This window comes from Homo sapiens, chromosome 6 (assembly GCF_000001405.40).
Source record: "Homo sapiens chromosome 6, GRCh38.p14 Primary Assembly".
NCBI lineage: Eukaryota > Metazoa > Chordata > Mammalia > Primates > Hominidae > Homo > Homo sapiens.
Genome location: NC_000006.12, coordinates 118780812 through 118790585, shown reverse-complemented (window position 1 = coordinate 118790585; position 9774 = coordinate 118780812). Strand labels below are relative to the sequence as shown.

The 9774-nt window shown below is 43.7% G+C and overlaps 1 pseudogene across 1 annotated transcript; it reads right to left on the bottom strand.

The window, feature by feature from the left end:
* Positions 1 to 7165: 7165 nt before the first annotated feature.
* On the bottom strand, positions 7166 to 7878 carry SELENOKP3 (selenoprotein K pseudogene 3; annotated as a pseudogene). The gene has a single exon (NR_037662.1). The product of NR_037662.1 is annotated as a selenoprotein K pseudogene 3 (transcript).
* Between the last annotated feature and the right edge of the window lie 1896 nt (positions 7879 to 9774).

Below are 9774 nucleotides of genomic sequence, written 5' to 3'. Positions count from 1 at the left end.
AGCCTCCCGCGTAGCTGGGACTACAGGCTTGTGCCACCACACCCAGCTAATATTTTGTATTTTTAGTAGAGATGGGGTTTCCATATGTTGGTCAGGCTGGTCTTGAACTCCTGGCCTCAAGTGATCTGCCTGCCTCAGCCTCCCAAAATTCTGGGATTACAGGAGTGAGCCACCATACTTGGCCTGTATTCTGACCATTTAAAGAGAAAAATAAATTAGGGAACATCCCAGTCGTGGGTCTGAATCATTTTAACATTTAAATGCCTTGTTTGTAGATTTGAAAGAAAATCAAACTTTGACCAGCTTGTCACTTTTTGGCTTCCTGTTCCATGCTTTATAGAGCCATATGTTTCATGTTTGAAAAAGTTTAAAATCAGTCAGCTTAATTAAATGTTTCATTTTCACAGACGTTTTAGTCTCCTTTCTCTCTATACCCAGGAGCTCGTGCTCTCATTTTACCAGCTCATTTCTTATGAGCTCAGAGGGGCTAAACATACTGTGTAGACTAACATAGGATCGACATGATGTAGGGGAATTTTAACATTTTTAGAGACAATAGACAGTGGCTGGCACTCAATCCAACTTTCAATAAATGAATGGAAAGAAAAGGATGGGCAGAGAATTGCTTGAATCCAGGAGGCAGAGGTTGCAGTAAGCCGAGATTGTGCCACTGCACTCCAGCCTGGGCAACCCAGCCAGACTCTGTCTCAAAAAAAAAAACAAAAAAAAAAAAAAAAAAAAAAACCTGTCACATTTTTCACACCAAAAACAAAAACACCAAAATCACATCAACAAGAAGTAAACCTTGTTCTACAAGCCACCAAACCAACACAAACCTGATGCTTTTGGATAATGAATCTTGTCTGTCAATAAAACCGCAGTATGGCTTGGCCAAATCAGTAAGAATGAGGAGACGTGCAGTGAGGAGGATTCACATCAATCAGAAAGCGGTCCGCAGCTGCCTGGGCTGACGGGAGGGCAAGCTGTGGTTGGTTTGACTGTGTGTAGAAGATGCCAGAGACTGCTAGTAAACAGATTGAAAACTGTAAACTGTGTCTTCTTTCCTTTTGGGAACCTCTGTGGGTGCACTCTCCAAGGCCAAGCCCAGTTCCTTCCCTTGGTCTCATCACTGGTCTCTTTATTTCCCTCCTGTACAGTTCAAGAGGCCTGGGCGATGTGACCTGAACAGAATGAGGTCAGCTGAATAAGAAGAAATACACCAGTAAAGGAAGATTTGCAGATTTCTCACCCTTCACTGGGCCTTCTTGATTAGCCACAGTGACTTGGATCAATTCCGTCATTTCATGAACCGATATTTTCCATTCTCTACCCTTTCCTCTGACTCTGGTCTTCTTGCATCTCTGCCTTTCCAAATGGCTTCTCAACTATATAATTTTTACCAACTCAGCTCTAATGATAGACGAAACCAACATTAAGCTATTGAACTCATATATTTTAGCATGTGCCTACACTCTTGAAGGCAGCAATGAATAAAAATTCTGCTGGGAAAATATAGTATTATACCATGTAATGGTGAGGATGAATTTGTAAATACACTTTTGTTTTCAAATCTTCCACAACCCAAGGCACCAACAGGGCCGAGGGGTTTGGTGAATTGTGGGAAAATAGAGGTGCTTGGATATGTGTAAGTGAGTAGCTCATTTAGCAGGTGTTCCACCACCTGCTCACAGACCACAGGGAATTTCATAGCTGGTGCACATGTGGCAGCAAGGGCCACGCGACTGGAAATGAAAGTGAGTTGTCAATTTTTCTTCTCTCTCTCTTTTTTTTTTTCTTTTTCTTTTTTTTTTTTTTTTTGAGATGGAGTCTTGTTCTGTCACCAGGCTGGAGTGCCGTGGTGCAATCTTGGCTCACTGCAACCTCTGCCTCCCGGGTTCAAGTGATTCTCCTGCCTCAGCCTCCTGAGTAGCTGGCACTACAGGTACATGTCACCACACCTGGCTAATTTTTGTATTTTCAGTAGAGATGGGGTTTCAGCATGTTGGCCAGGCTGGTCTTGATCTCCTGGCCTTGTGATCTGCTCGCCTCAGCCTCCCAAAGTTCTGGGATTACAGGTGTGAGCCATCGCGCCCAGCCGAGTTGTGGATTGTTCTATATTTTCATTCAACATTTCTTCAAATGTCCTTTCCCTTTAAAGAATCATCAAAATCTCTTTCCTTTAAAGTTAACACTACAAGTAATCGAAGTCCCATTTCCTGGAAATATAGGCTGGATGGCAGCCATCCCTCAAATGAGCCCCCATGGGGAAGACTTGGAGAGTGCACTCCTAACTTAGGTTTCCGGTGGACATGTATGAAGCCCCACGGGCTGGAAGCTGAGGTCATGGATTACTCTCTCACTGCTGCTGAGTGCCAGTTCATCATGTGCTTCCTGTCATTATTCTCTTACATCATGCATAACCCTGTATCTCTTAGCCCATCTCCTCATGCACAGATTTCTAATCAGCTGTGAAAAAATACTATGAATATCTCTGCATTTAAGAAGAGATGCTAACTTTTAAAAAATAATAAAAAGAAGAGATGCTAATGGGAAAAGGGTTGAGGAACAGCTGTGGATTGGAAGTAATGGGGTCAAGTAAAATAGGGCAGCAAATCAGGAAATGGGGTAGGTGTAGGCACTGGGGAGAGGAAGCTATGCAAACCAGCCAACATCACCATTAACATGTTCCTTGTTTTCCTCTGAAATCCTCTTCTAATAGCTGAGGTAGCATGAGGTTGCAGTGGAAGGAACATGAGCTTTGCTACGAGATAAATACACGTAAGAATCCTGCCGCATCATGAGGCTCTGTGATATGGCAAAGTTTCTTAGCCCTTCCTAGCTTCAGGTTGGTAATAATACTAAGCTTTCAAAACTATTGGAAGAAACAGAGATCATGGAATGAGGAATGGCTGATACCAGGCACTCAGTACATGGCAGAACAATTATTATTATTGAGACAGGGTCTGGCTCTGTCATCTAGGCTGGGGTGCAGTGGTGCAATCACAGCTCACTTTAGCCTCGACCTCCAGAGCTCAAGTGGTCCTCCGAACTCAGTCTTCTGAGTAGCTAGGACCATACATTCATTCACACCACCATGCCTGGATAATTTTTTAAAATTTTTGTAGAGATGGGGGTCTCACTATGTTGCCCAGGCTGGTCTCGAACTCCTGAGCTGAAGCAGTCCTCCCTCCTTAACCTCCCAAAGTGCTGCGATTACAGGCGTGAGCCAACACACCTGGCCAGAAGCTAGCACTAATGATAACTAGGTTTGTGTCTGCAATGCACTGACTTGATGCTTGCTCAGATGGGGGGCAGGGGAAAAGTAAAGATAACCAGGAAGCTGGCAGGACCCTGAAGAGAACAGCATTAATCTCACATTAGCCACATGATGTGCCTTTATCTTTATCACAACTTCTCTCTAATCTTCCTCAACATTTAAATCAAATAATGAGCCAAAAGGATGATAAGAGAGAACAATGTCAACAACTATGAAGGATCTGAGATTTTTGCCCTGCTTGGAAGCTCACAAGTGAGCCAGTCGCAGCTCCATTGATGCTAGCAGAAGACATGAGACTCCCAGTCAGCAACAAAAGACCTCATGACAGCACAGCTGGCAGCGTGAGCTTCGTGTTCCCATGGGTTCCCTGGGAGCCCCAAGTCCCATGGGGGTGATGCAGAGGTGGGCCCAGGTGGCTGCTGTGCACGCAGTGCATTATGTCACAGCCAAGGAACCTGGAGCTTAAGATATTCCCAGTCTTCCAAGGGGACTATTAACAAGCCTGCCCAATCTTTCTCCTGGAGAGGGACATTATCTTTATTATCCCTGCAAGGAAACAGACCTGCCCTCTGCCTATCTTCCACTGTTGTTTTGTATACAAATATCTTGGAAAAGGCAGTCTGCATCAGGTGTGTTGAAACACCACAGACAATTGCTTTCCAACCAAGTAAGACACAGCCAGAGGCAGAATTCAAAAGAAAGCACTGCGATTAGAGAAGATGCCTTAAAGTTTTTATTTCTTTAATCAAGAAGTTGATAAACCCCCATCAAATCTTAAATAACAGCTCCTATGTTTGCCAGAGACTATAGGGAAAGCCTATTATTGCTGTGTTATATGCTAGTTTGAAAGCTGCTGCCTGTACCTAATCACAGCGCTTCAGTGGTGAATGGGACAAGGCACCTCCTGCTCCGTCTTTGCGAAAGGCCCTGAAGTGATGTCTTCTTCATGCATTTTTTTTTTTTTTTGAGACGGAGTCTTGCTCTGTCGCCCAGGCTGGAGTGCAGTGGCGCGATCTCGGCTCACTGCAAGCTCCGCCTCCCGGGTTCACGCCATTCTCCTGCCTCAGCCTCCCGAGTAGCTGGGACTACAGGCACCCGCCACCGCGCCCGGCTAATTTTTTTTGTATTTTTAGTAGAGACGGGGTTTCACCGTGGTCTCGATCTCCTGACCTCGTGATCCGCCCGCCTCGGCCTCCCAAAGTGCTGGGATTACAGGCGTGAGCCACCGCGCCCGGCCTTCTTCATGCAATTTAATAAAGAAATGGGTTAGGGATTTTTTTTTTAATGAAAAGGGAAGAAATAAGAAACATTGTTCATGTTTGACTTTCTTTGGGCTTCGTTATGAGATTAAAATGATTTGGAAAATAGAATTCTTTCAGAGGCTACACTTGAGGTTTATGGAATCCTGAGATTTATCCAGATCAATCTCCTCACTCATATGCCTTTATGAGGTCAGCTATGGTTCTAATGACCAGAGGAGCTAGGACACACACCACCAGAGGGCTTCCAGCCTTTCCAGTCCCACCTTGCAGCACGCCATCAGAGTCCTAAAAGCAAAACCATCTTGAGGACCTTACACCCTCACTGGAGACACAGCCCTGTCTCATTGTCAGACCAAAGAGGAATCTGTGTGTCCCAAGTTTTTAGTTCAAAAATATATTCATTATATGCAGGCAAAATGCAGCGATTGTTATAGTGAAGAATCCAGGGCCTGCCTTGTTTGAGAGTTTGGTGGGAGAGCAGCAGAAGTCAGGGGTGAGTGGGTAATTCAGGCAATGTACACGCTGTCTCCACATCTGAGAGAAGGGCACATGGGGCCCATGGTTGCCAGAAATCTGTCCTAACCCTTCCTTCTCCCTTGCTTTACATATCTAATCAGCCACAAGAGCTGTTGATTCTCCTAAATCATTCTCAGATCTGCCCATAATCTCTTTATTTTTTCTTATATAATTCATCAGAAACTTTTTTGTTTTTGTTGTTGCAACTTATGAGATAAAAATCTAATGGGATCTTTCTCAAGCTCCCAAGAAATGACAACGTTCCTTCTCCATCCCCTTACAACTCCCCACCCCCAACCCATGACACACCCAACACACACGCACACACACACACACACACACACCCGGAGACAACTCTTTCCTTCCATACAAATTCTGTTTGTTTAGGACTCAGTTTCCTTTGATCATCTGTAGATGTCATCCCGGAGGAGCCCCTCTAGTATGGATTTTCAGCACACAGAGACAGGGGCCTGGTTGTCCTAGGGAAATCCCCTAGTGATGTTTGGGAGCCCTGCCTCCGCCCAGTGCCAAGGTCAGCAGTGTGGGTCAGTGGGCTCTGATCCCAATGAGGGCCGGACCTCAGGCTTGAGACCTCCTCCCACTCAGTGCTGGGCCCCGAGCTGAGCCCATTCTCCTCCTAGCAGGCTAGAGCTGTGTGAGCTGAACTAACTGGCAGAGCCAAGTTGTCCTCCCCCGAGACTCCCATTCCCAAGTAAGGAGAATTGCACTGTGTGATTGCAGGTGGAATCTGCCAGCATGAGCTGCCTGAGAGAATAGACAATGGAGCTCTCTGTATCACTGCAGAAAAGGGGAAGGAAAATGCTGACATTTAAATGATTACATTTGGGATCTACAGTTGCCTTGGGGCATGGCAGTGATCACTTAATAGATGAGTCTTCCTTTTTTTTTTGCTTTCAGAGCTTAAATTAGCTTTCAAATAGCTACAAGGTTAGAGAATATATTCTTTAATTAAAGAGGGAGACCTAGCTTCCTTTTCCTTTCCCATAAAGCGTGTGTGTGTGTGTGTGTGTGTGTGTGTGTTTTACTTTGCATTTTTGCATAGACTTTGCAATACTGGGAGCTGCAGATAACTATAGGATTTATGTCCTCTACATAAGGTGACCACACAATAGGACAGTTATTTTAAATATTCTGTCTTTAGGATGAGTCATAATTTTTTATTAAGCAGATGTATTCACTATGCTTAAATGTTTTGGTATCAGTACAGCACAGGGCCTCACACAGAATATTTACTGAATGAATGACTGATTTTATGACCTTATACACTCTGTGCTAATAAATATAAATACACAGAAAATCCATTTGGTAAATATTTCCTAATTCTCTCTGGTAAAACAAAAATTCCAGTAACACGTGCATATCTTCACACACAGTCTAGCAAGGATCTCACTTGTCAGCAGAAATGAGCCATCTGGTTGCTGCCCTGAGAGCCCATCTTACACAAATGTCACCGCTTTCCACATTCACAACGGACCATTTCCTTACCAGCCAGGAGAAGCCAATTATATTTGTCAAATAACAAGAGCAAAGTACATTTTTGCAAGTCAGTCGTCTTGTCTATAATCAACTCAACTTCCTAAATATTAAATATTCAGTAATCTGGCTGTAGATTTCTGGATCATTTAAACAAATGAATAATGCTTGATAAAGCTCAGAAATTGTAAATTTGATAAAGCTCAGAATTGTCAGCTATGTCTTCATACTGTGAATCCAGCAGACTGAGAAATAACAAAAGTGAGTTTGCCAACCCTCTTAAAGATGCATTTGGACCCTGAAGTCCAAGGCAACTGTTGGTTTTGTGTGGCTTCCCCACACCCCAGCTCAGGTGTGTTCACCCACAGATTGTTTAGTCTGCAACTGAAGAGCTGAACATAATCTCAAGCTTGGTTATATCTGCTGCAGATTATTTTGTTTTTAATTTTAAAAAATACAATGTGACTTAGTTATAAATGAGAACAAATTAACAATGAACAATATTTCAAAAGCTGAAAAAGGTGGCACGGACACTAACAGTACTGAATACATAGGCTTTTATCATCTTCAGATTCAGAGTTTTTTGTAACTTAATTATATAAAGATGAGGAGTCAGTTTTGCAAGCTAAAAATATTTACTTATTAGAACTATATGAATACTTCAGTAAAGTATATTAAAAAAGATAATGAGACAGATGTGCATTTATAGAACTGCATGCCAGTTAGCCAGTTCCCTGCAAAGGGAATTCCCAGCATGATCTCATTAATCTGTGAAGACCCAGAGCAATCCTTGTTTAGATGTATGCATTCATCTACTTGTCCAGCATGGTCAGCCCTCCGCTCCTTGGTGGTTTCTCTCTACTGTGAATGTGCATGTCCAGTTGTCTATTTCTTAGAGTAGATATTTACCTTCCTCATCCACCAGCCTTTGGGGGAGGACTGGGGAGATGCAGATGATTGATTTGACCTGTTTTCCCCAGAGGGTTTCCTGGTGGCTGTCTTCCATGATCATATCTGGAATCAGATGTGTTTCCATAGCCTCTTCTTTTCTTCACATGTTGCTGAAGTAGAGTTTTGAAAAACAAAATCACAAACTTGGCTATTCTTCAGAAGAAATCTGTTATCAAAGATAAACTCCAGGGAGATGGACTCTGCTGTCCAACACTTGTCCATTTAAGATGTAAGCCATCCTGCCCCGCTTCCCCACTTCGGAGCAACTTGCAGATTAATTTAACTGGACTAATGCCAGTTCTCAGTTTGAGCCTAAGATGATTCGAACTTGTGTTTTGAATTGGGGAACAGCACTGCATGATGGCTTTTCAGTTCTAGAAGAGAAGAAAAAATCTTTTATTTATTTTTATTTTATTTTATTTTATTTTTTTTGAGACAGAGTCTTGCTCTGTCGCCCAGGCTGGAGCGCAGTGGCGCGATCTCTGCTCACTACAACCTGTGCTTCCCGGGTTCAAGCAGTTCTCCTGTCTCAGCCTCTCAAGTTACAGGCGCGTCCCACCTTATCTGACTATTTTTGTATTTTTAGTAGAGATGGAGTTTCACCATGTTGTCCAGGCTGGTTTCGAACACCTGATCTCAGGTGATCCACCCACCTCGGCCTCCCAAAGTGCTGGAATTACAGGCATGAGAGACACCACGCCCGGCTGGAAATCTTTATTTTAAACTTTTTTATATGCATTTGAGAGAAAAATTAATATGAGGAAGACTTATATCACAGATACCAGTTCCTTGGGCAATTCCTGGAGACCAGGGGTCTGCAAACTATGGTTCACAGGGCCAAATCAAGCTCAGGGCCTGTTTTTGTACTGTCTGCAAGTTAGTAATAGTTTTTGTACTTTTTAAAGTTTGTGAAGAAGAAAAAACAACAAAGAATAATATGAGATAGAGATGTCGTGTGACCTGTAAAGCCTAAAATATTTACAATCTGCCCCTGGGCGGTTTGCCAACCCTGGGCTATAGACTCATGTCTGCACTCTCTGGAGAAAGGGGTTGAATGCAGCAGGTGAAATCAATGCAAGGTCAGGGATGGAGAAAAAGAATATTCTTCCACTTCTGTGAGGATCATAGCATGACTCTGGCAGAGTTAAGATTCTAGAAAAAAACAATACTTGGGATAGAAGGTTTTTGGTGCCTGGGAAGACCATGCTTTGGGCAGAGACATCAGCCTCCGCAGGACACCAGTGATGGTTATGGAGGCGTGGGGTGGCCTTTCTGTGACTTCACGAGCAGCCAGCATCACAGTGAGAGTCAGAATTCCTTTCCACAGAGAAACAACCTCCAGGGACTTGCACATGTAATTTGTGAACTGGGGAAGGGGCTGAACCCTTTCCCAAAGAGGTGGGTTAAAATCCAGTGAAACTTTAGCAATTAATGCTGTAGAAAGAAAAAAAGTGACAGCGTCCCCTTGCCCAATCTTTTTCTATGATGTCACTTTCAGAGAACACAGACCAAAAATCAAAAGCAAATTAGGCTGGGTGCAGTGGCTCACACCTGTAATCCCAGCACTTTGGGAGGCTGAGGTGGGAGGATCACTTGAGGTCAGGATTTGTAGACTAGCCTGGCCAATATGGCAAAACCCCCGTCTCTATTAAAAACACAAAAATTAGCCAGATGTGGTGGTGTACACATGTCATCCCAACTGTTCAGGAGGCTGAAGCAGGAGAATCGGTTGAATGCAGGAGGCAGAGAGATTGTAGTGAGCCGAGATCACGCCACTGCACTCCAGCCTGGGTGACAGAGAGAGACTCCGTCTCAAAAAAATAAATAAATAAAAGAAAACAAAAAAGGGCAAATTAATTTGAGTCTTTACCTGTATCTCTCGAGTGACATTCAAATGGAAATATGGTTTATAATCTCCAGTCCCTCTTCCTCCAGGCTCCCACTCTCTCATGCCCTGTAGCTTCCTCAGGATCCACCTCCACCCACCATTCCTGTTTCCTTTCCCTGCCTTTTCTGACACAGACCTTCCACAATGAACCTGATCTGAAAGATGACTGTGAGTTAAGATCAGGATGGGGGTGAAGTGGCACAGAACGCTGAGCAAGAAGCACCAGAATTTTCCTCTGGGGTTATGGGAAGGGAAAGCTGGGAATCCGTGTGCATTCATCATTGTCCTGATGTATTGTTCATAGGAATCTAGTCATTCCCCACCCCGAGGCTAGAGAGGCCAAGGGAAACTTTAGCTATACCAAATTGTGAAATTGAAATTTGTAT